Source organism: Homo sapiens, chromosome 9, assembly GCF_000001405.40.
Source record: "Homo sapiens chromosome 9, GRCh38.p14 Primary Assembly".
Taxonomy (NCBI): Eukaryota; Metazoa; Chordata; class Mammalia; order Primates; family Hominidae; genus Homo; species Homo sapiens.
In genome coordinates this window covers 122,250,129-122,275,923 of record NC_000009.12, presented here as the reverse complement: position 1 = coordinate 122,275,923, position 25,795 = coordinate 122,250,129, and the positions used below count along the sequence as shown (strand labels likewise).

The 25,795-nt window shown below is 41.0% G+C and overlaps 2 protein-coding genes across 19 annotated transcripts in view, besides 5 other annotated features; one reads left to right on the top strand and one right to left on the bottom strand.

Moving 5' to 3' along the window:
• MRRF (mitochondrial ribosome recycling factor) overlaps positions 1 to 11,042 on the bottom strand; it is a 66,456-nt gene extending 55,414 nt beyond the window's left edge. For 7 of the 16 annotated variants that reach the window (NR_144421.2, XR_007061374.1, NM_138777.5 and 4 more), the window contains exons 1-2: positions 10,986 to 11,042; positions 4,849 to 5,060 (exon numbers count right to left, since the gene is read on the bottom strand). Coding sequence is in view for 11 of the 16 variants with exons in the window: in NM_138777.5 (NP_620132.1) it covers positions 4,849 to 5,032 (184 nt within the window). In the remaining 5 variants the exon portion in view is untranslated. Of the gene's footprint in view, positions 1 to 4,848; positions 5,061 to 10,143; positions 10,463 to 10,650 lie in introns of all 16 variants that reach the window. The other 9 variants (XR_007061373.1, XR_007061372.1, NM_001346339.2 and 6 more) reach the window with 5 other exon arrangements.
• Positions 9,960 to 10,930: an enhancer, noted in NCBI's record as "NANOG-H3K27ac-H3K4me1 hESC enhancer chr9:125027273-125028243 (GRCh37/hg19 assembly coordinates)". NCBI's record gives its function as "activates a minimal SCP1, AML or CMV promoter by ChIP-STARR-seq in primed H9 embryonic stem cells {active_cell/tissue: H9 hESC(primed)}" and the evidence as "EXISTENCE:reporter gene assay evidence [ECO:0000049][PMID:30033119]".
• Positions 9,960 to 11,902: a biological region, named in NCBI's record as "BRD4-independent group 4 enhancer GRCh37_chr9:125026651-125027850".
• Positions 10,353 to 11,552: an enhancer, noted in NCBI's record as "BRD4-independent group 4 enhancer chr9:125026651-125027850 (GRCh37/hg19 assembly coordinates)". NCBI's record gives its function as "activates an origin of replication core promoter dependent on BRD2, P300/CBP, MED14 and CDK7 cofactors, and independent of BRD4, by STARR-seq in HCT116 cells {active_cell/tissue: HCT116}" and the evidence as "EXISTENCE:reporter gene assay evidence [ECO:0000049][PMID:35650434]".
• Positions 10,625 to 10,784: an enhancer, noted in NCBI's record as "active region_28927". NCBI's record gives its function as "activates an Ori minimal core promoter by ATAC-STARR-seq in GM12878 lymphoblastoid cells {active_cell/tissue: GM12878}" and the evidence as "EXISTENCE:reporter gene assay evidence [ECO:0000049][PMID:35858748]".
• Positions 10,931 to 11,902: an enhancer, noted in NCBI's record as "OCT4-NANOG-H3K27ac-H3K4me1 hESC enhancer chr9:125026301-125027272 (GRCh37/hg19 assembly coordinates)". NCBI's record gives its function as "activates a minimal SCP1, AML or CMV promoter by ChIP-STARR-seq in primed H9 embryonic stem cells {active_cell/tissue: H9 hESC(primed)}" and the evidence as "EXISTENCE:reporter gene assay evidence [ECO:0000049][PMID:30033119]".
• RBM18 (RNA binding motif protein 18) overlaps positions 11,084 to 25,795 on the top strand; it is a 27,219-nt gene continuing 12,507 nt past the window's right edge. For 2 of the 3 annotated variants that reach the window (NR_027125.2, NM_033117.4), the window contains exons 1-3: positions 11,084 to 11,209; positions 14,416 to 14,544; positions 23,951 to 24,077. Coding sequence is in view for 1 of the 3 variants with exons in the window: in NM_033117.4 (NP_149108.1) it covers positions 14,432 to 14,544; positions 23,951 to 24,077 (240 nt within the window). In the remaining 2 variants the exon portion in view is untranslated. Of the gene's footprint in view, positions 11,210 to 14,415; positions 14,545 to 21,556; positions 21,651 to 23,950; positions 24,078 to 25,795 lie in introns of all 3 variants that reach the window. The other variant, NR_027126.2, reaches the window with a different exon arrangement.

Genomic DNA, 25,795 nt, shown 5'->3' with positions numbered 1-25,795 from the left:
AAAAACAATAAGAAATAAAAATAAAGAAGAAAGTATTATGCACAATGGTAAGATATGAAAACAACCAAAGTGTCTGTGGATAGAGAAATGATGTGGGTGCATGTATGGGTGTGTGTGTTTGTGTATAAAGTGGCATATTATTCAACCTTAAAAAACGAGACCTTGCCATTTGCCATGGATGAACCCGGAGGACATTACACTAAGCAAAATAAGCCACACACAGAAAAATACTGCATGATTATACTTGTATGCAGAATCTCAGGGTTGGGGTTTGCTTGTTTGTATTTTAGACAGGGCCTCACTCTGTCACCCAGACTGGAGTGCAGTGGTGCGATCTCAGCTCACTACAGGCCTCAACCTCCCTGGGCTCTGGTGATTCTCCCATCTCAGCATCCTGAATAGCTGGGACTACAGGCGCATGCCACCATGCCTGGCTAATTTTTGTATTTTTTTTGTAGAGAAGAGGTTTCACCACATTGCCCAGACTGATCTTGAACTCCTGGGCTCAAGTGATCCACCCGCCTCGGCCTCCCAAAGTGCTGGAATTATGAGCATGAGCCACCATGCCTAACCACATGCGGAATCTACAAAAAAGATGAATACACACAGAGAATAAAATAATACTTAGCAGGGGTCAGCGGGGTGGGGTGGTGGTGGTGGTGAGGAAATGGAGAGATATAAATCAAAGGATACAAAGTAGTAGATATGTAGGATGAACAAGTCTGGAGATCTAATGTACAATAGGAGGACTATAGTTAGTAATATTGTATTATACTCTGGATTTTTTGCTAAGACAGATTTTATGTGCTTTCGCAAAAAAAAAAAAAAGGAGGTAACTATGTAAGATAATGGATATGTTAATTTGCATGTATGTAACCATATCACTGCATGTATATCAAAGCATCATGTTTATAATAAAATTTTTCAAAGAAAAAAAGAAAACAGGAAAGACCAAAAATTAATGAACTAATTGTCCAACTCAGAGGATAGAAACAGAACAAGTACACAGGAGAAAGTAAATAATAAAGAACAGAAATCATAAAATTGCAAAAAAGAGAGATCAAAAAATTAAAGACTCTTTTAAAAGGTTTATAACTTCTGTCAAGAACAATTAAGAAAAGAAGAAAGTAGATGCAGATAAATAATATTAAGAAAGAAAAAATGGACATGACTATAAAAATAGTAGAAATCTTAATAAGAGACTATTATGAACAACTTTATATCAACAACTTTGAAAGGTCAAAAAAATGAAAAATTTCCTAAAATATATAACTTACTAAATCAAGAGAAAAATCTAAGCAGTCTCATAATCATTAAAGGAACCAATTCTATGATTTAAAGTCTACCTACACACACACACACACACACACACACACACACACACACACACCAGATTCATATTACTTTACAGGCAAGTTCTATCAAACACGCAAGGGGCCGGGTTTTGCCATGTTGGCCAGGCAGGTCTCCAACTACTGACCTCAAGTGATCCACCCACCTTGGCCTCCCAAAGTCCTGGGATTACAGACGTGAGCCATCGTGCCTGGCCTAAATCTTTTTCCTTTATAAATTACCCAGTCTCAGGTTTTTCTTCATAGCAGCATGAGAACAGACTAACACAGTCTATGTGTCTGTTTTTATGCCCATACCATGCTGTTTTGGTTACTATAGCTCTGTGGTATAATTTGAAGTCAGGTAATATGATTTCTCCACATACATAACTCTTAAGGTTAACATATAAGAAGTGTTTCCTATAAAGTCAGGACTAAAACAAAGATGCCTATTATCACCAGTCACATTTATTCAAATTACACTAGAGTTCCTAGCCAATCCAATGACAGTGAGGGGAGGAGAGGAGAAGGGAGGGCAATAGGACAGGAGGGGAGAAGAATGGAAAGGGACATATGTGCACCACAACACATGTACAAGAATGCTTATACTAGCATTATTTGTTTTAGCTCAAAACTGGAAACAACCCAAATGTCTGTTAACTGTAGGATGGATATTAAATTGTGGTATATACTTTCAGTAGAATATCATTAAAAAAATAAAAATGCACAAACAACCATTATGTGCACAACATGGACATATCTCACAAATAGATTATTACCACAGAAGTCAGACACAAAATCCATACTGACGTCACAAAGGACAAAACTAATCTGTGGTGTTAAAGTCAATATAGTGGGTTATCTATCCTTACAGTGAGACAGTAACAACTCAAAGGGACATGTGGTAAGTTTGGAAAACACAAGTGACAGTCTATTTATTGATTTGGGTAATAAGTACATGATTGTGTTCACTTTGTGAAAATTCACTGAAGCACAAACTTATGATTTACGTAAACACTTTTCCTTATATATAACTCAAAAAACTAATACATATAAAAGTGACAAAAAAAAAAGATAGGATTCCCCCAGAAATAAACCTGATTAAAGAACTGATTAAATAACTGTACAAGATCTTTTTTTTTTTTTTTTTTTGAGACAGGGTCTCACTGTCCCCCAGGCTGGAGTGGCAGTGGCATCATCATGGCTCACTGTAGCCTTGACCTACTGGGCTCAAGCAATGCTCCCACTTCAGCCTCCCAAGTAGCTGGGACCACAGGGGTGCACCACCACACCTGGCTAATTTTTGTAGAGACAGGGCTTCCCCATGTTGCCCAGGCTGGTCGGAACTCCTGAGCTCAAGCAATCCAACCACCTTGGCCTCCCAAAGTGCTGGGATTATAGGCGTGGGCCACCACTCCTGGCCTTGTGCAAGAGCTGTCTGGAGAAAACTTGACACTATGATCATAAATTTCATATAGAAAAGGAGAAAGTCAAGAACAAAAAGAAAAGCATATGTGTGGTGAGGGGAAAGATCTGTACCAGTAAATTGGACTTTATGACACTAAGTCAGGCAGTATGAAATTTACTGAAGGGAGAGATAAGCAGTTCAATAAAATCAACAGCTCAGACACAATGCCATATATATACAGAAACTCACACAATGGGGCGGGGCATTACAAATCTGGGAGTAAAGAGTAGGCTAATCAATAAATGATTTTGACACAACTTCTTATCCATCTGGAAAGGAAACTTTAAAAATTACCTCACATTATATTCAGAAATAAATTACCTTGCAATAGACGGGTATTTCTTAAAGAAGACACAATTAATAAAGGACTAAAAAATATGACATTAAAACCCATGTTCAACAAAAACATCATAAAGTAAAAAGCAAAGAAGACACTTGGAACATATGGACAAAGAATGAGCATCCCTAATATGAAAGAATCGAATAAATCTAAAAGAAAAAGTCAAACAACCAACTTCTGCAGCCTCAAACTCCTCACCTCAAGCCATCCTTCCACTTCAGCCTCCTGAGTAGCTGGGATTACAGGTACAGGCCACCAGGCCCAGCAATTTTTTTTTTTTTTTAAGAGGCAAGGTCTCATTATATTGCCCAGGCTAATCTCAAACTCCTGGCCTCAAGCAATCCCCTCACCTCAGCCTCCTGAGTAGCTGGGATTACAGGTGTGAGCCACAGCACTCGGCTAAACCAACTTTTAAAGAGGCAATCAAAGAAGACAAAACTGAATAGCCCACAAAATATGAAAAAATGCTGCTTATGCACTGTAACTGTCTATTACACTAGAAGACTGCAGTACTGTAGGCATCAGGAACTCAAGTTTCTGGTTCTGCCATTAACTATATAGGAACATGGGCAAATTTCTCACAAACTATCTCAGTTTCTTCGTTTATAAAATGGTGAGATCTGGATTAACTAGATAATTATAAGGATTTCTTCAATGGAAAATTATAATTCCTTCAATGGATAATTATAAGAATAAAATTAGTAAATGTATAGAAACTTTAAAAAATATAATGCTACATACAGATCAAAGGTTATTACTATTAACACTATTAACAGAATATAACTCTTCTAAGCATTACTGTTCTTCCAGTAATTTGTTAATTTTCCTATTACAGAAAGGGGAAGGTCTGCATGAAATTAGAAAAGGAAAGTCAGTGGGAAAATATTCAGCAGCATATATCTAGCGCCATTCTTGGGGGAGGACTCCCTGATCCACCACTGCAAATTGCTGGTGTGACTGACAATTTTCTATCACTCATTCTTTCATTCAACAAAATTTGTCAATACATACTAAATCCAGGCCCTGTTAGGTGCTAAATAAGAACAATATAGAACCTACCTTCATCAGGTCCAGCATAGAAGACAGATAAACGATAATCAATCTTACATTTAATTAATTAATCACTGCTGTTCTAAGTGCATCAAAGGCAAAATAACAGAATGCACGAGTGCAGGCAACAGGGGACTTGACCTAGTCTAAGAGGTCAGGAAAGGCTTCCCAGAGGAAGTAGCATTTAAGCTGAGACCTGCAGTACATCAGAGTCTCATTCCTGGATGACACAAGCCATTAAGATCATCCATCTAAATCCATGGCTCTAATACCCACTTCACCCAACCACCTTCTGGTCTTAATTATACTTCCAACATGCATCTTCCTATAAGGAGACAATATATTGATCCCTGCTACAAGCATTCTGGCTTGCTTGGCACTTAAACCTTTAATTCTAAATCTAAAAGAAAGAAATTAGGCATTTTCTGAGCTACCAAGAAAACAAATGAGGCAGCATGGTAATGAGAAAACAGGCACTGGGTTATAACACCATCTCTGCCACTGTAACCTTTTAAGCTAATCCAATGAAATAGCTGAGGCACCATTTCCTCATGTTAGCAAGGGGAGAAATTCAGTACATCTGAGATACCTGCCAGCTATAATTCAAGGGCCAACTATAAGAAAGGGGTGAAGTAGGAGAGAACGTCACATGTCTCTACCTTTGGCTTTCTTGGTAGCAAAATGGCGGACTGGTACAGCTGAATAGGCCATGTATTGCCTATGGCCATGTTGTCTTTCATGCACTGTCTTCAGTGTAACTTCTGAAACGGGTCTGATAGAGGCTGCAAGATAATTGCGAAAGGTAGGGTGGACCATGCGGAAGCACTTTAATCCCAAGGCCATGACTGAAGACAATCCTTGGAAACATCCACTAAAAAGAATAAGACAAAAAGCAGATCTAAGTAAAAGATCTAAGTACAAAGCTTGCAACTTCAGGTAATTCGTACCAATTATCAAGCAACTCCTATAAACTGAGCTAAGTACTAGACAATTTAAATACATTATCTCTAATCCTTTTCCCAACAGCCCTAGAAGAAAATATTATTTGCCTCATTTTACAGAATGAAGAAACTAAGGCTCACAGAGATTTAAGGAACTTCCCCACTTTGGACTCCAAACCCCAAGCTCTTTCCACTGCACCAAAATGCCCATTAAGCAAATATGCAGCAGACTAAAACTTTAATGATGCTAATTAAACCCTTACATGAGAAAAAGCACAAAATCTTGATAAAGTTTAAAGAGGGAAGGCAGAGCACTAGAAGAGGACTTTAAATAAGAAAACCGTCTCAACAGGCATAAAATGACTGGAAAATTCACACGACAGCATTTAATTAAAATTTTATTTGGTTCCTTATGCACTGATTACCAATTAGGATGCCCTTTAATGTGAGTCTAAAGCATGATTGAGGTTTGAGGTCTTCCATGGTATAGAACTAGAGCTCTGGAACATGCCACCCTCTCCTGTGTTAACACAAGTTACGCATTCTACATCTGAGGTCTTTGACCATGGAAAGATGCCATCGCCTACAACTACCTCAGGATAGAACACAGCCCTAGCTAACTGACAAATATATCATTGATAGCTTCTGCCAGTAATGTTGCTATGGCTCAGGTAAAAATTAAGAACAATTAGTATCAAATACCTGGAAGCTGTTTCCTTTGAGTAACAGTCCCACACCTTATTTTTTTTTTTAAATCCCATCCTAAAATTTTGATCCAACACAATGGAATGAATAACATGGGCTTTGCCGTCAGGAAGACCTGGAAGCCAATCCTAGCTCCATTACTGACTAAATATTCCTGAATATTTCTGCTCCTTGATTTCTTCAACTATAAAATGGGAATAATTGTACTCATTTCTTAGGGTTAGGAATAATTAATGAGGTTATGCAAGTAAAGCCCTTGACACAGTACTTAGCAAACAGCAGGAGCCCCCCAAAATAATACCTGTTGATAGCTATCACCTTTTTTTTCAAACTTTTAAAAAAATATTATCTTTATTATCTTTTGAGACTGAGTCACACTCTGTTGCCCAGGATGGAGTACAGTGGCACGATCTTGGCTCACAGCAACCTCCACTCCCAGGTTCAAGCAATTCTCATGCCTCAGCCTCCCAAGTAGCTGGGATTACAGGCACATGCCACCATGCCCAGCGAATTTTTTTGTATTTTTAGTAGAGACAGGGTTTCACCATGTTGCCCAGGCTGGTCTTGAACTCCTGGGCTCAGGCAATCCACCTGCCTTGGCCTCCCAAAGTGCTAGGATTACAGGTGTGAGCCACCATGCCCGGCCTCTAAAACTTTTATGCCAGGGTCAGACACAATAAAGAAACCTTGTATGTTATTAATGATGTACAAAATAGCCTACAATCAGTCAGACCTGGATGTAAATTTCAACTTTAGGCAATTTACTCTTCTTTTCTGAGCATCACTTTCCTCATCAATGATAAAAATAACCTTGAACTTAAAATAAAATTTAATAATGAATACATGTAAACAACTAACATAGTGCCAGGAATATAGCAGCTTAATGAATGATGGCTATTATTATTATTATTTTTTTTTTTTTTGAGACAGAGTCTCACTCTGTCGCCCAGGCTGGAGTGCAGTGGCACGATCTCGGCTCACTGCAAGCTCCGCCTCCCGGGTACACGCCATTCTACTGCCTCAGCCTCCCAAGTAGCTGGGACTACAGGCGCCTGCCACCACGCCCGGCTAATTTTTTGTATTTTTTAGTAGAGACGGGGTTTCACCTTGTTAGCCAGGTTGGTCTCGATCTCCTGACCTCGTGATCCACCCACCTCGGCCTCCCAAAGTGCTAGGATTACAGGCGTGAGCCACCGCACCCGGCCTAATGATGGATATTATTTTTAAAGCAAATGAGTAGCACAAAGGCAAATCATTTCTCGCGATGGAATTTTTAACAGTAAGGGATACTAGAAGTTAGTGATCAGTGTATGAAGTCTATAAAACCAGATTTGATGAAAAAAGGGAATATTTTTCTTCTTTACTAGTATCAATAGCTACTATTAATTGAGGTCAAGTTTGGACTGTTTGCTTTAACCATACTATTTCATTTAATTCTCTCAATAATGCCACAAAGAACGTATAATAATCCCCATTTTACAGATGCTGAAACTGAGGTTCAGAGAGATTAAGTCACTGTCCAAGGACATGGAGCTAATAGCCAAGCTCTATTTTAGCAGAACTGTTCACAGAGGTTTGGCTCAGAGTGAAGTTTCTATATCTAGGTTTTTCCCTAATAAAACCAATGCCTAACTCATACTTATAACCAAATATGGCTGTAGAATAATGAGTAGATTTTATTTTAGTCTACAGGGTCTCAATCTGGCTGCTCCATTTAAGACAGGTTTCCTGGTATTCCTGTTGCAGGTCATAATACCAACTCACAAAGCAACAGGAAATCAAAATGGGTTAGAAATAAACAACCTTTGACAGAAAACGCAGCACCCAAAAGCAGACCCAGTACACGTGAACCGGAAGACAACTCTATAAATAAACCACATCGCTGAAATGCTTAAGGCGTAGATTTTAATTGCACAGAAGTCAAGAAATTTCAAAGTGGAAGTTCAATAAAAGCAGTCCTTTAGGTCCTTTACCTTAAGGGTATACAAATTAACATTCAGTTCAGCACAGATAAAGAATTAAAGTTGAAGAAAAATTTGTTGAGATCCCAAGTATGAGCCAACAAAATTAACCTATACATAGAAGCAATGTGGGGAAGTGTCTGAGCTTTGGACGCAGTCTGGAACTGGAATCTCAATTCCCCCACTTACTAGCTGTGTGACCTTGGGGAGGTCATTTAGCCTCTCTGAGCTACAGCTTCCACATCATCATCATAGTGATATTAATGAGACTTTAAAAGATAACAATAATGACAATACCTAACATTTATATAACAATGACTACGTGACAGAAACTATTCTAAGTGGTTTATGCACATGAACTCATTTCAGCCTCATGATAACCCTGAAGTAAGTACTATGATTATTCCCACTTTACAGATAAGAAAACAGAAGCAAAAATCTGCCCAAGATTTGAATTCAGTCAATCTAGCTCTAGAGTCTATGTTATTAACTGCTATACAATGCATATAGAACACTCAGCATGGCTGGGAACAGTGATGGGTGCCTATAGTCCCAGTTACTTGGGATGCTAAGGAAGGAGGATCACTTCAGGCCAGGAGTCCAAGGCCAGCCTTGGCAATATAGTGAGACCTAGTCACTTAACAAAACACATACACACAGTACAATGCCTGGCATCCAGTAGGTACACAATAAATTGTAGCTATTATAATAGCATCCCAACTATTAAATTTTTTTTTTTTTTTTTTTGAGACAGAGTCTCACTCTGTTGCCCAGGCTGGAGAGCAGTGGCACGTTCTCAGCTCACTGCAACCTATGCCTTCCAGGTTCAGGGGATTCTCCTGCCTCAGCCTCCTGAGTAGGTGGGACTACAGGCACCCACCACCACACCCAGTTAACTTTTATATATTTTAAGTAGAGATGGGGTTTCACCATGTTGGCCAGGCTGGTCTCAAACTCCTTACCTCAGGTGATCTGCCCGCCTCGGCCTCCCAAAGTGCTGGGATTACCGGCGTGAGCCACTGCGCCGGCCTGAATTTTTTTTCTTTTTTTTTTTTTTTGAGACGGAGTCTCACTCTGTCGCCCAGGCTGGAGTGCAGTGGCGCAATCTTGGCTCACTGCAACCTCCGCCTCCAGGGTTCAAGCCATTCTCCTAACTCAACCTCCCAAATAGCTGGGATTACAGGCGTGCGCCACCACACCCAGCTAATTTTTGTATTTTTAGTAGACGGGGTTTCACCGTGTTAGCCAGGATGGTCTCGACCCCCTGACCTCGTGATCCGCCCGCCTGGGCCTCCCAATGTGCTGAGATTACAGACTGAAATATTTTTTTAAACTACTTGAAGCACACATTCTTTTTCCAAAGTTGAGGGTCTCAAACGATTTCCCTGTTCTTCACAGAAGGTTCATTTTAATTTTGGCTAGATGACCAACCCAAAATCCTGGCTTATCTACTGTCCCAGCAACTCTTTTCAATGCAGCTGTATACTAGCTTATAACATAAGCACTTCTATGAGTGTGCATATACGCAGGCTCTTGCATATAAAATACTTTCACATGTACCATCTTAACTGGTTCTCATAACTAAAGAGTGATAATCACCACCCGTATTTTGCAAAATAAGAAAAGTGATCTTTCACTTCTCCAGGGCTCCCCCTGCTCCAGGGTCTTCAAACATGCCATTGAATCTCCTTGATGATCTTCCCTCACCTCTTTAACTGTTTGTCTCCGTTTTTATTTCAGATTTCAGCTTAACCATCACTTCCTCAGAGGACGGCTTCCTTGGCCATCTCCTACAGCCCAACTAGGTCAAGTGTCCTGTAGTCTGCTTTCATAGCACCCTTTACTTCATCATAGCACTTAATTCTTAACAATACAAGCTAACATTTGTGTAATTATTTGATTGTCTAATTCCCTCCATATGACTCTAAGTACTACAAGGACTAATCTATGATTTTCTTGTTCACTGCTGTATCCCCAGTACCTGGTACATTGCCAGAACACAGAAGACACTGTGAATGTGATGAATACATCAGTGAAAGTCCAGAAAGATAAATTCCTTATCCAGGGTAAACCAGAATCGGATGGGAATCTACCCTTACTATTATGGTAGGTTCTGGGCTTCCCAGCGTTGCCTCCACTGTCTCTGGTTTGCCAGATTTTTGCTTAGAGATAGTAGATGATGTTCTTCTCTAAATGCAGTACCAGGTAAAGAAAGGTACTTGTAGTATCTGACTATACACAGAATCATTATGCACCTGGCACGGCCAAAGAAGGAATGAGACACTTTAACAGGTAGAGAAAGGGCTTTTGCCTAAGAGTTAAGAGATCTGGATTCCAGTATGCCTACCTTATCACTCCCTGCCATCTGCCATTTAGATTCATAATCACACGTATTCAAAAAGCATTTGCGGCAGCTCTACCACTGACTTGTGACTTGTACCAAGTGATTTCTCCTACGTAGATTTTGTTTCAACCATAAAATGAAGGGGTCAGATCAGGTTTTCATTCTTTCCAACTATAAAGCTTTCCAAAATGGGGGGAAATGCAACAGTGTGGTTTAAAACAAAATAAAGGCACTAAACTTAGAGAAAACTCCGAGTCTTGGTTCCAGCACTTCCTAGGCACGTGACCTTAAATCGGTCAAACTCTCAGGACTTCCGTCTCATCTGTAAAACGTAAATGACAATACTATTTGTCAGGGTTAAGTAAATGGAGAAGGGCTACTGAAATGACAACTGTTTTGCCACTGGGTGGCACAGAGTGGTGGTTAAAAGTCCAGGCTTAGGAGTCGGATAGCCCTAGGTCTGAATTTAAGCGCCCTCACTTTCTGACCGCGTGACCCTGGTAAAATTACCTATGTGAGCTTCCGTTTCTTCATTATGGGAGATAATAATATCTACTCCTATGGGATTGTTCTGAAACTCAAACGTTCCCGTCAAGTGTGCGGCTACTCTTTAGTAAGTTCCTCCAGCATCCCCTAAATTCCTAGCTGGTAAAAGGAGCCCCGCCCCCACCCCATGAGACTCGCTCCAATGCCACAGGTCCCGCCCTCAGCCTTAAAGGTCAAGCTGGACTCGAACGGGTCGGGGACGGTAGTCTGGTCCCCTGAGGTCCCCCAGAGGTCCCTGAGTAAGGGTCTCTGGCACCCAGACCACACGCGCCCCTCGAGGCCCTGTCAAGGACACTCACCAGCTATCGCCCAGGTTACTAAGGAAAGACTCGTGCGACGGCGGCGACCGCAGCTGCGCGGACGTCGTGACGTCACGAAGCCAGGAGGCGGCGCAGGCTTAACGCGTCACGGGCGGCCTGGCAGCTGGCGGCATTGAGGCGGACGCGTCTAGAGGTCCGTCTGACCGCGGCGTCGGGACCTGGTTTCCGGGCATGAGCTGAGAGCACCACGCCGAGGCCACGAGGTGAGTTCGGCCGCGACATGTCCCTGCACCTCAGCGATGGGCCCGCTAAGAGGTCTTACAGGAGGCCGCCCTCGCAGGACTGCATCTCAGGCCCCGCCCCGGATTGTCCTGTCGCTGGCCCGGAAATAACAATCCGAGTAATGACCCTTCGCCTGTAGGAATTCGCAGCCAGAAATCGGGAAGCCAGGGTTCCAGGCATGACCCCACCGCTTGCTGTTAGGATCAGGTGTCTCTTCTTCTCTGGATTGCACTTTCCCCAGATGACTATTTCTGGCTTCCAGAGTTATTGCAGCTCAGCTGGAAAGACAAATGTAACCGCGTTTTGTGAACTCTGGTAGTCTAAAGGATTGTTGCTATTGCAAACGCAAAGCATTTTGATAGTCCCGTGCCGTCTTGATCTTTTATTACCCTTTACCTTTCCTCAAAAAGCCATATTCTGAGCTGTCACCAAAATTGTCTTATTTAAGACTCACAACGACCTCGTGAGACGACAAATTGTACCCATTCTAGGAAGGAAAAAGAAACTAAGTCTTCGAGTGGAGAAGCGGCTTGCTTCATTTAGTAAATATTAAGCACCAACCGTGAGACAGGCAGTGTACTTAAGTGCTAGAAATAGAACCGTGATCAAGATTGGCAAGGTCCTGTGCTGTGGGAGCTTACGTTCTAGTGAAGGAAATAGAAGAGGAAACATTAAGTAATACATTGAATTAGCATTTAGTAGGAGGAAAAAGATGGAAAAGTGGCTATGATATAGAATAACAAGGAACTCTGTTTAGGAAAGCTTTTCTATCGAGAGGATGCTTAAAGAAAGGTCATGTGACTTGCTAAAGGTGCAGTTACTAGGTGCAAAAGTCAGGATTTGAACCCAGACCCGCATAGCCTGCACTCTTACCAGTAAAACATGGTACCTTTTCGTGGTAATAAATATTAATAGCTATTGGTATTATTCCTGATTTTAGACATGAGAAAATCAGAATGTCCTATCATTCAAGTCCCAAATGTCATCTCCTTTAGAGAGGCCTTCCCTCCACTCAATCTATAGTCGTCGAGTCCCTGTCACATCACCCTGCTTAATTGTGTTTGTGGCATGTATCACTAATTATATCTTCTTTATTTATTTTGCTTTTGTTTTGTCCTGCTCCCCTTCCAAATACAAGCATCCAGAGGATAGGGACCTTGCTTGTTCACTGCTCTGACTCCAGTAACTGGATAAGTCCTAGATAATAGAAGCAGTGAATTTATTTTTTGAATGAATGATTTGTTTAAAAAGTAGGGGGAAAGGAAAGCAGAGGGAAGACAAAAATGTGTCTCCCCTGGGATTAAATTTATGTCTGTTTCACCTTTCTCCCAGGAGGTAAGAACAAGAGCTGTGGCTTTTTCATTTGTCTATTTCAGTACATAGCCCAGAGTTTAACAGTTCCTAGTTGCTTGACTTACATTGCTGAACAGATTAAAGATGTGAATGGGAAAGGAAGAAAAATACCCTCATGTGCAGGGTATTCAATAAACAATTACCTAGGGACTGCTGTGCTAGACTTTACAGGGTGTGCTGAGATGATTAAGAGGTAATGGCAGTTGTTGTGACTGCCTCCATGGTTCCTGTAGTGCTGACCTCTGAGGTACTTCTGGGTATAGGATATGTGTTCTCTAGCAGGGACTTCTGAACTCTGACACAGCCTGCTGTCCTCCCAGCCCCTAAAGCTTTATTTCACATCTGTCGTCTCATTTTTGGTCCTCGAAGCCTTAAGTTATAAACAGGGCAAAATTTATTAAAGATGGGTAAACTGAAGCTCAGAAAGAAATAACTTCCAGTGGAAATGCCACAGTTTGTGCTGGGCATGGTGGCTCACACCTGTAATCCCAGCACTTTGAGAGGCCGACGTGGATGGATCACTTGGGGTCAGGAGTTGGAGACCAGCCTGGCCAACATAGTGAAACCCTGCCTCTACAAGAAAATACAAAAATTAGACAGGCTTAGTGGCATGCACCTGTAATCCCAGCTACTCGGGAGGCTGAGGCATGAGAATTGCTTGAACCCGGGAAGTGGAAGTTGTAGTGAGCCGAGATCGTGCCACCGCCCATGAGTCTGGGCAACAGAGCGAGAGTCTGTCTCAAAAACAAAAAAAAAGAGAAAGAAAGAAATGCCACAATTTGAAACAATGTCTTCTGACACCAAGGTTTCTGCTCTTTCTACTGCTGTCTCCATCATAATCATAATCCTCTTTTCTCCTTGGCTGTGAGATGAGACATTTCAGGAACTAAGACTAGTAATAATTTAAGCTAACATTAATTGAATGCTTCCTAGGTGCCATGCACGGTTCTAAATGCTCTAGGTGTATTAACTCAGTGAATCTGCACTGTAATTTCATGAGGCATTATCCCCATTTTACAGATGAGGGAACTGAGGCCAACAGCTGTTAAGTAACTTGCACAGGGCTACATAGCTAGCAAATGGTGGAACTTGAATAACTAAGGAGGAAATTAGTCTCTTCTTCCTGGTCTGTCCCAAAAGAGTAAGCATGATAATAGCTAGTATTTATTGATTACTTACTGTTGTTAGATACAGTATTTAGTGATTTTTTTACTGTCTTTAATCTTCACAACAACTCTATAAAATAAGCACTATTATCTCTCTAGATAATGAGGAAACTGAGGCCTAGAAAGTTCAGGTAGTTCATCAAGTCACACAACCTGCTTTCAAACCCAGTTCTGTCTACGCACAGATTTCTTATATTGCCTCTTCTCTTTGCTATATTGCCTCTTCTCTTTGCTATATTGCCTCTTCCATGAGGAAAAGGGATGGAGTGCTGCTCTTCCCTACCCATCCCTTTTAATGCCATTAAGACTCTTCCTGGTGGTTTCCAAGGCTTATTTTGGGTGACAGTTGTTGAACTGAAGTATCATGTAGTAATAGAGACTTTGGCCTCCTGCCCAGTCAGCCTCTGGCTTCAGAGGAGGAAAACTTTAGTTTCTCCACACAGAACCACGCCCCTTTCACCTTAAATGGCAGCTTGTGTGCCCTGGCTGCCAGAGCAGTTGTCCCAAGGGAACTGGTTCTGGGGCCCTGGTTGTGGAATCACTGAGGCCTTTGAAGGACTGCCCAGAGGGCATGCCCTCCTTGAATAAATGTTTGTTGAGTTGAATTTGAAGTCTTGTGTTCACACATTGTTACTCCCCTCCTGCCTGAATGTTCACATTTCCTTTAGTATTTCATAGACATTGATGGAAGCAGAAACCAAAACTCTTCCCCTGGAGAATGCATCCATCCTTTCAGAGGGCTCTCTGCAGGAAGGACACCGATTATGGATTGGCAACCTGGACCCCAAAATTACCGAGTAAGTCTAAGTTACCTTAGTTTTTTACCTACAATATTGGGATGTTTTGTGGTGATGATGTCAAGAAGAATTTTCAAGGGGTGTGGGATATACTTAGACCCTTTTACTTACATCGTGTCTTCGGAGAGATAAGATGTTGTTAGCCTGTTATCTTGTCACTTTTTTTACATTTGGACTCTGCTACTGCAAGGACACAGACTTGGGTATCCTTTAATCCATATACCTGTTTTTTTCCTATCTGCCAAAGACGTTCTCCCATTTCCAACTATTTGAATCCTTGTACCTAGTAGCTCTAGGGAATTATTCTCTAGAATCAGCCTTGGGAATACATTTGTACCCAGAATAAAGGAACAAGCAGAAGTCTCAGTACCTTTGCAAACAGGCAGAGGAGACCACTTGACTGTAATTCATATTAAGCAGCCATAGAACTATAGAAGGTCAGAGTTGTAAGGAACCTTAGAAATCATGTCCCTTTGGTTTTCATTCATTCATTAAATGATTTGAGTGCCAAGTGCCATGCTAAGCAGTTTGCAGACTTCTTAAATCTGAAGAACCCTGTCTTAGAGTAAAAGTAATAATCAGAGCTGTATATAAAATAAGAGCTCAGAGTTGCTCTGACTAAAAGGGAGAAGAGATGGAACCAAAATCTTTTGTCAACTACTACCCTTTCTTTGGCCATCCCTGTTTAGGCTCTGTAGAACTTCCAGGGCTCCATAGAGCACACTTGACAACCTCTGATGGGACCCAGCTTTTTTATCCTACATAGAGGAAACCAAGTCCCGAAAGACAGAAGTACCTTGCCCGAGTTCACGAAATTGATTGAATTGCCCTGACTCCCTGCTCTTTTACATCACAGCCATTAAGATGAAAAGGAATTTCTTAGCTGAGAAAATTGAGAGGTTTTTCCCTTCTGCCAGTTATTTGATAGAGGGAGGGTGGTGGTTGGTGGCAGAGTACAATGAGTGGATTGGCCTGTATGAGGTCAATGCTGAAAGCCAGTTTTTTTGTTTGTTTGTTTGTTTTTGTTTTTGTTTTTAAGACAGTCTTGCTCTGTTGCCCAGGCTGGAGTGTAGTTGCACAATCTTGGCTCACTGCAACCTCCACCTCCTGGGCTTAAGCAATTCTCATGCCTCAGCCTCCCGAGTAGTTGGGACTACAGGCATGCGCCACCATGCTGGCTGATTTTTGTGTTTTTAGTAGAAATGGGGTTTCACCATGTTGACCAGGCTGATCTCGAACTCCTTACCTCAAATGATCCACCCACCTTGGCCTCCCAAAGTGCTGGGATTACAGACTTAAGCCGCCATGCCAGGCAGAAAGCAAGTTTTGAGCATATCATCAGTCCTAGAAGTTACTCCCTTTAGAATAGTGTTAAAGACAAGGGGAGGCCGGGCACAGTGGCTCACGCCTATAATCCCAGCACTTTGGGAGGACGAGGCAGGCGAATCACTTGAGGTCAGGAGTTTGAGACCAGCCTGGCCAACATGGTGAAACCCCGTCTCTACTAAAAATGAAAAAATTAGCCAGGCATGGTGGTGCATGCCTGTAGTCCCAGCTACTTGGGAGGTTGAGGCGCGAAAATTGCTTGAACCTGGGAGGCGGAGGTTGCAGTGCACGGAGATTGTGCCACTGCACTCCAGCCTGGGCGAAAGGTGAAGGGAGGAGATGAGGAAACCTGCTTCTTTGAGTATGAGATGAGACAAGGTATATATGAGAGTTAAGATTAGGAAAGAGAAGAAAAGGATATAACCTTATAAATCAGGATTATAACAAAAAGTTCCTTAAACCTGCTCAAGCTCATATCAGCCAAATGTAAATATATTCAGTTCCCTTAGAAATTATGACGGTATTTAAGATGTGTTGCCCACATATTATGTTATCTTGGTCACAGGGACCCTAGAGTGGATTGCATTTATTTCAGTTCTCTTTTACGGTTCATGGCTTTTGAGGGTGAGTATATGAATCTGTCCAACCTCTCAATTAATGTCTCTTCATCAAAGAAATTTTTTCCATCATCCAAAACCCAGGCTATGAGGGGATGCTCATAGTGGTTTCCATTCCCACCTCTGCCTGTCTAAATGGAAATCTAAAGTGTGGAAACAGCGTTGGTTGTGTTGGCTGCACTTCTCTGTAATGAGACTTTTGTTCTAATTGTGTCCTGCTGCTTGACGGGAAGGTTCAAATGGGCATTTGCCACCTCAGTTTATGTCATAAGTTGGAGTGTGTGGATGTTTTTTTCAATTAGAACATTGGCAGGAACATTGAATCAGAACTTTCCCACTGATATCTCTGCTCTTTTTACATCAGGCCAGAGGTAGACATCAAGTAATAAACTAGATCAGAGCATGCTGGCTGGAAGTGCTGGGCTTTCCCTGTGGCTGGCTTCTCCACTTCTGTATCACAAAAGACCATTTTTATTATTTTTTCCTATAGATTCTTTTTTCTTCTTCTTCTTTTTTTTTTTTTTTTTTGACAGCTCTGTCACCCAGGCTTGAGTACAGTGGCACAATCATAGCTCATGGCAACCTAGAACTCCTGGGTAGCTGGGACTACAGGTGCTCGCCACCATGCCTGGCTAGTTTGTTGTTTTTTGTTTTTGTTTTGTAGAGACAGGGGTCTCAGTATGTTTCCTAGGCTGTTGTCAAACTCCTGGGCTTAAGCAATCCTCCTGATCAGCCTCCCAAAGTGTTGGGATTACAGGCGTGAGCCACTATGCCTGGCCATCCTATGGATTCTTTACCTTAAAACATTTTATCTGTCAAACAGACTGGTTTATTAAATTGTAATAAATTTATGCTTAAAGATATAACTACCACTGAGCACGGTGGTTCACACCTGTAATCCCAGCACTTTGGGAGGCCGAGGCGGGTGAATCACAAGGTTAGGAAATCGAGACCATCCTAGCCAATGTGGTGAAACCCCATTTCTACTAAAAATACAAAAATTATCCAGGCGTGGTGGCGGTTGCCTGTAGTCCTAACTACTCAGGAGGCTGAGGCAGGAGAATCACTTGAACCCGGAGGGCAGAGGTTGCAGTGAGCCGAGATCACACCACTGCACTCCAGCCTTGGCGACAGAGCAAGAATCTGTCTCAAAAAGAAAGAAAGAAAGAAAGAAAGAACTACCAATCATAGCTTATGGTTAACATGAAATATTAATATTACCTCATTTAATTTACTTAATTAAAAGGAACCTGACATTTTAGTAAAGTAAATCTTATCTTGTAGAAATTGATGATTTCCTTCCATGTTTTTGAAATACAAAAACTTCTGGATCTTGTTCCTCTGAGGGCATGTAATGGTGAGCCTGGATGAACTATAAAATGCAGTAATTCCCAAACATTGAAGGATTACATAATGTAACTTATGTGAATATATGGTACCTGTCTTGTGGTGCAATCTCAAAAAGTATTGCTTGAATCCAAATCTGTAAACTTCTAATGACTCTTAACAGAAATTTGCAGAGCATCCTCCAGCTTTCCTGTTTAAACCTACCTTCTATCCACAAATTGCTGCTAGTTCCTACCACTTCCCCATTCAACAGACCCTTCTTACCTCTCTCTTTCTTATATGTGTCCCTACTGTCCACCTGATCTCTTTTATAAACTGATTTGAATACGTCTCCCATTCAAATATTCTTTTACCGCTTGTTAGAAGACATTATAAACTTACTGTTATGAATGAATATGTAAAACAATGACAATTTTTTTTAAATAACCACTTTTCCACCTGGTTTTTTAGTCTATTCTGTGATTATTTCTAGTCATTCTATGTGTGTGTGCCTGTTGGTTATTAATCTGAGTCCTGCTCAAGTTACACTAGGATGTCTATCAGTCTCCTCCCAACAGAATATGCGTTTATGACTGTCTAGCACTCTAATATTACTCGTCTTGTTTGTTTATGTTCACTCTGTGGTTGTAATATTGACCATTGGCTGGGCGCGGTGGGGTTCAACGCCTGTAATCCCAGCACTTTGGGAGGCAGAGGCGGGCGGATCACGAGGTCAGGAGATCGAGACCATCCCGGCTAACACAGTGAAACCCTGTCTCAACTAAAAAAGAAATACAAAAAATTAGCTGGGCATGGTGGTGGGTGCCTGTAGTCCCAGCTACTCAGGAGGCTGAGGCAGGAGAATGGCGTGAACCCGGGAGGCGGATGGTGCCTGTAGTCCCAGCTACTCGGGAGGCTGAGGCAGGAGAATGGCATGAACCTGGGAGGCGGAGCTTGCAGTGAGCCGAGATCGCGCCGCTGCACTCCAGCCTGGGCGACAGAGCAAGACGCTGTCTCAACAACAGCAAAAAAATACTGACCATTTTAGGGCTATGTTAGATGCCAGAAATATTTATATGACTAAATACATCTTGGAGATTAGGATTTGAGGGAGTGATGATGCATTCTTGTTTATGGAATTAGCAGATTCCAAACTTATGTTCTTTCCACTATATTCTGATTCCTGTCAACTATATTATATGTAATAATTTCTTACCTATAGAATAAGAATGTTCAGCTAAATGATCTGAGCATTACTTCTAGCTCTAGACTGCATGAGTCTGTCTTACATAACCCCTTAAAACTTTGTGAGGGAAGTGGAACAGATATTATTTTCCCTATTATATAGGAAATGAAGAGTGAAGTGAGTTGGCTTAGTATACTGAAGTAATGATAATTTCCACCACCTAATTTAGTGTTTTTTTGCACAAATATTCTAATTTTTGAACAGTCACAACCAAAAGTATCCTATTTTAAATCTTAAAATGTAAGGTTTTCTTTTTCTTGGTTGTGAGACCCAATCTAACTGTAAGCATAAACAATACCTCTGAATATCATTATAAGTGCCATCCACAAAGAAGCTGAAAAACTTAATGACCTCAGACATTATCTATTTTCTACACTGTGGTTTTCTTTCTAAAAGGGATAATACCGACTTTCTTTTACAAGTATTAGATGTGCTGTGTAAAATGCCAAAGTCGTAGCCGCTGTATTATGCATATAGAGGTATGAAAGAGAACAAAGCCCATAGAAACGCTAATAGAAGGAGGAATCTGAGTGGAGGGAAAATCGTAAATAAAGGCCTATAAGTACTAATAAGAAAGATTGTTATGTGTTAAGTAGAAAATGAGGAAGATCTTTCTGACTTAAGCAAAGTTTGAATACTGGATGGGAATGAAAATAGTGGCTGCATAGATAGAATACTCTCAGGTTAAGACAGGGTCTTTAAAATTCATTCAGACAAGCCTGAATTTCATGAAAAAGAAACTCATTGTGGGTGTTTAGCAGGAGGCTGACATCATGAAAGTGATGTGGGTTTGGTTTTTGTTGTTGTTGTTGTTGTTGTTGTTGTTTTCTTTTTGAGACAGAGTCTCACTCTGTTGCCCAGGCTGGGGTGCAGTGGCTCAATCTCAGCTCACTGCAACCTCCACCTCCCAGCCTCAAGCAATCCTCCCACCTCAGCCTCCCAAGCTCAGGCAATCCTCCCACCTCAGCCTCCCGAGTAGCTGGGAGTACAGGCATGTGCCACCACACTCAGCTAATTTTTTTGTAGAGACGAGGTCTCACTATATTGCCCAGGCTAGACAATGATGTGTTAGTAGAGAAATTTTACATCGATATGCAGGATGAAGGGCAGAAATTGAAGATGAAGATTAGCTAAGAGAGATCGCCATGAACCAGTCTGGCCATCGATTATCACCTAGATAGAGACAGTGAACTTGGAGACTGATGAGTGAGTCTGAGAGATGAGGAAAGTGATTGAAATGGAGTGGAAGGTTGAGGTGATCCTGAGGTTTCTTGCCTGAGGAATATAAAAAGATCTTGTTCCCCCTGACCAGAGGGATAGCTGGAAGGATCATCAGTTTGTGGCAGGGAGGGATTCAGTTTGGGGTGTGTTAAGCAAAGTTAAAAGCAGTGGAGAGCCATCCAGGTGGAAATGTCCTCCTGGTACAGACTTTCAGGGATAAACTAGGTAAGCTGGAATGCAAGGGAAAATAAATGCATGAGCATGCAAGAACAGTGTGTTCACCCCCGAAGAAACCTGTTTCTCTCTCAGTCCATACCTTATGTCTCCTCATTGTCCATACTTCTTTTTATGTCTTGGTTTACATGAAACAGCCTTCACTGTTTGGTTACTTAAATTGGAAGCACAATAAGACCATATAATAATGTACTTATCATAAAACATAAAGACCCATCTCATAGTAATTTCTATATCCATTTATAAAGAAAATTTTCTCTACAACAAATTGTGCATCAAAAATAATATTAAATGTCATTTCATGGGCTTCCAATTGCCTACAACCCGAAATTAAAATTCCCTCAGCCTACGACATCCTTCACAACCTGTCCTCTGCCTACCTTTCAGCCCCATCTTACTGGCTACCCCCACTCTACTCCAATGGATCAGACCCTTTTTCACCTTTGTCTTTAGTACTCACTCACACTGACACAACCCAGTCAGATATCACTCCTTTCACAAAGCTCTCCTTAACCACCACCTTCCTTGTACCATTGGTCTTCATTCTGTGTGCTCGTATTCATCCCTCTGTGTACAAGCATCCCATTGTTTTGTAATTGTTTGATTACATCTCTCTCTGTCTTAACTAGAATGTGAGGTTCTTGAAGGCAGGAACCTAGTTTTATTCATCTGCATAGCCCATAAGCCTGCTTGGCTCTAGACACATTGTAGGTATCTATTTTAACATGTGTATAGATTAATTATTTCTGTGCCATTAGGCAGAAAAGCTGTCTTAAAGACCAATTACAGAAAACACTGATTAAGTTGCAGATATGTGTGTGGGGCTGGTGTGCTAATTTTCCAGCTCCTGAAGGCTGCAGGGCGCACATTTCATTAAGTGAAGCAAGCCTCTGCTGAGTAGTGTGCTCTCCCGCACTTCAGCAGCAGATAAAAGTGCTTGCAGATGTGAAAGCAAGATCCTTCAGGCTTTTTTCACTATCAGAGCCTGCAGTCCCCATCTCCAGGAAGCAAAATAGTAAACATTTCATTCCTTTTGTTTCAGTGTTCCGATAATTTTAAGAAATTATCAAACAAGAAAAGAAATCCTGGAGAAGTTGAAAGACACAAACCTAAGCAGATGTTCCTGGAATCTTAAGGTCACACTTCTTGGGCAGAATGTGTTTGTTAGCTTTACAAAGAGTAATCTTTTGTTGGTGTGTGTGTTTTTTTTTTTCTGAGTAAATTAAAATTCATTTCTTAGGAAATGCCAATCGTGTTACCTTCCTGCTTCTAAGCAGAATGGAGCTAATGAAAAGATGACCAGCCCACAGTAGCCTTAGATTGTCTTTTTTGTTTTTTTTGTGTGTGTGTGTTTTTGTGGGTTTTTTTTCTTTTTTTTTTTTGAGACGGAATCTTGCTCTGTCGCCCAGGCTGGAGTGCAGTGGTGCGATCTCGGTTCACTGCAACCTCTGCCTCCCGGATTCAAGTGATTCTCTTGCCTCAGCCTCCTGAGTAGCTGGGACTACGGGCATGCGCCACCATGCTTGGCTAATTTTTTTGTATTTTTAGTAGAGACAGGGTTTCACCATGTTAGTCAGGCTGGTCTCGAAGTCCTGACCTCAGGCAATCCACCCACCTCGGCCTCCCAAAGTGCTGAGATTACAGGCGTGAGCCACTGCGCCTGGCCTAGATTTTTTTTTTTTTTTTTTTAAGAATAGGTTTGACTCCCCATTCTGTGGCAACTGGCACGGTGTTAAGATTTGAATAGGCTTAGTAATTTGAAGATACAGCTGTGAATTAAAGACCCTGGGGGAGACTCTTCTCGCCCATCTTTGTGTGTGAGAGACTCACCCTTGCTGTAAGCCTGTTCAAAAAGTCAAGTAAAACCACACATTTGCACTTAAGGTGTCTTCGTTTCCCCTGAAGTCACTTCCTACATTCTCTCTAGTGGTTGAGGTGTCCTGATGGGAGTTGGGAAGTTAGAAAGTAGGGGATCATGGTGGTTTTACCTTTCAAAATAGACCAGATTAATATCCACAATATGCCTTGGGATCCTTGCATTTGTCCCAGTACTAAACCTGTATTATGTCTTTCTTGTTCCACTGTGTCAGACACTTGATCCAGGATATTGGACTTGCTTGTTGATGTGCATTAGTATCAAATTTAGTATAGTGTATGGTCCATTTCATATCTTTCTGCCTCCCAAAGGAAATTCTTGCTCAAGAATAAAATTTTGATGAGTTTCTCTTAGAAAACAATGTGAATATAAATGTGGCTATAACGACAACTTTACTGACTCCCTGTGGGGTAGAATTCCCAGTAATAACAGATTTAGCATGTGGGCTGATACCTTTTTAGTATCACAGGGACAGCATTGTTTAGAGAAAGCCTTGACTCCATTTGAATAGCACGGAGGATGCCAGGAGGAAGGCCAAAGGGAAAGGAAACGGGAGAGCTGTTGGTTTGTCTCACCCCCACATCAGATGACAGGAAGTCGGAATTGAGATTGGCCGCAGCAACCTGTTAAGGCCACATCTGTTTGAATAACTTAAAAGCTCTGTAGAAACCAAGTAAGTTTTGGAGTAAGAAATTTAATAGAGGATGAAGGGCAGAGTAGTGGTAAGCAATAGCTTGGAGTGAACATCCTGCCAGGAATAAATTTCTCCCTTGACCATCTGTATTCTTTACTTGACCGTACCCTAGAGTATAAACTGTTTTAAGGCAACTGAGGTTGGTTAGTTACCCATAGCTGGGTGATTTATAGGACTGGCCAGGTTCCCCTGCCCTTTGTGAAACCGGCCTCAGTCACATAGTTGTTCCACATTGTCCTCATGTTCAGTCACATCAGTCATTGAAACTCTCAAGTGCTGTGGAAGTATCACTAGCTGTGGTTTGATTAATGGCAGAGTTTCTCACAAGTGCAATTTGGGTCTAAGAATTAACTACAAAATCTAATAGGAAGATCTTCCAGGACTGTTTGTTTGTTTGTTTGTTTGCATGAATGCATATATGTTTGTTACTTTATTTTTGAGATAGGATAGGCTTTGTCTTTTGGAGAATGGGTGTGTGTTTCTGATGGAGTTATAGTTATTCACAAATGCCATTTCATTGCCAAGGAATTAAAAATAAATAAATCAACACTATTTTTGAGCTTTTCTCCAAAAGAAAAACAAATAGTGCTTGTAGGCCAGACAGCTGTTTGTAAGGTGTGGTTTTTTTGTTTGGTATTTTTGTGTTGGACAGATGCATAGCCATGACAATTCTAGTTCCCATACCAAATAGAGGCAAACAACTCTGTTTGCCAAATAAACTAACATAGCAGTTTAGAGGAAGGCAGGGGGCTGGGGCGAGAGATTTCATCCCTGGGGTAAATTATCTCCTGCTTTTATCTCACACTTCAGGCTGAGTGGCCAACAGAATTCCCAGAGCATACTCATGGACTCTTCTTTCTCCACAGATACCACCTCCTCAAGCTCCTCCAGAAGTTTGGCAAGGTAAAGCAGTTTGACTTCCTCTTCCACAAGTCAGGTGCTTTGGAGGGACAGCCTCGAGGCTACTGTTTTGTTAACTTTGAAACTAAGCAGGTAATTAAGCTTTCTCCCCATTTTATAATATTTATCAAGCTCTGTCATAATTATTTGTGCATGTCTCTTGCCTACTAGAATAGCAGTTCCCTGTAGGCAGGAGCCATGTCTGATTCATCTGTGTGCCTTACACTGAGTCCTATAAGGGATCCTCAATAAACAAATGAATTAGTGGCTTTCACAATTCACTGTCCCTTGGCCAAAGTTTAAGGCAACTGACTCACCTACATTTTTGACCAAATGCACTGGGATGCCCACATCGAGCACATGTACATCCCCCTCCCTATTCTCTTTTGTTTGTTGCTTTACTGGCTGGCCAACTGACAAAGCCTTCTTTTCTTTCAGTAGTTTTGTCCTGTGGTACAGAAACCTATCTGTGATGAGACACCCACAAAGACTCTTTTGTTATTTCTTCTCAAGGTCTCAGAACAAATGCATATAAATTTTAATGTATGTAGAAGAGCGCATTCACCTTCAACCATGATATATACATGGATCTCCTTGTATTAAAATTTAGTCCTTGAAGTGGAAGTGCATTGATAAAGAAATTGAATTTGATTGTTACTAAATGTAGAGATGCCGCATAGTACTTATAAATTTATTCATCATATGTAAGAACATTGCATAGTTAACGTTATATTAATAATTTAGGCCTGGCTCACACCTGTAATCACAACTACCCTGGAGGCTGAGATGGGGAGATTGTTTGAGACCAGCCTGGGCAACATAGTGAGACCCTGTCTCTAAAAAAAATTTTTTTAATTATGTGTGATGGTGCACCTATAGTCCTAGCTACTTGGGAGGCTGAGGCAAGAGGATCACTTGAGCCCAGGAATTCAAGGCTGCAGCAAGCTATGATCACACCACTATACTCCATCCAGCCTGGGCGACAAAGCAAGACTCCATCTCATAATAATAATAATAGTAATAATAATAATAATAATTTGTATGAGTGTTTTTTTATTATAAAATTAATGTGTGAATATTATAGATGAAAATATAGATAACTGAGAAAGAAAATGTAAATCACTTGGCCTAATACCCAGAAATAATCACTGTTAACACTTAGTCATATATCTTTCCAGTCTTTTTGTTTCTTCACATTCACACACACATAAACACGTTACACAGTGTTGTAACACACAAATGGAATCATATTATCATGTTTATCATTCAAAGTATACTAAAATTTTTCTACCATTTAATCACATCAGGGTGACATTCTGTATCTTGATATTGTGGTTTCACTGGTGTTTGTATGTACGTGTGTGGAGGGGAGTAAAATCATTAATCTGTATTTGAGATTTGGGCATTTTATTGTATGTGACTTAGACTGCATTTAAAAACTAATCATTTTTGATGACTACATAATGTGAATATATCATATTTGACTAGTCCCCAATTGTTAGCTATTTGGGTTGTTTCACTGGTATTTGGGTTGATTCACTAGTATAAATATCACAAGAGTGAGTATTTTTACAGCTCTAATTATGTATATCTGCCACATTTGGGGAGATGGAATGGCATCATCAAAGTCCATGCATAGTTTTTCTTAATAAAACTGCCAGATTGTCTTCAAGAAATGATATATCAGTATGTTCTGAGATTGTATGGTAGTGTCATTTCTCCTTGCCAGTGCTGGGTATTTTTTATTTCCTCTAATTTTTGTACATATGATAGCCAATAAATAATACATTGTTACTCTAATTGTTCAAGTA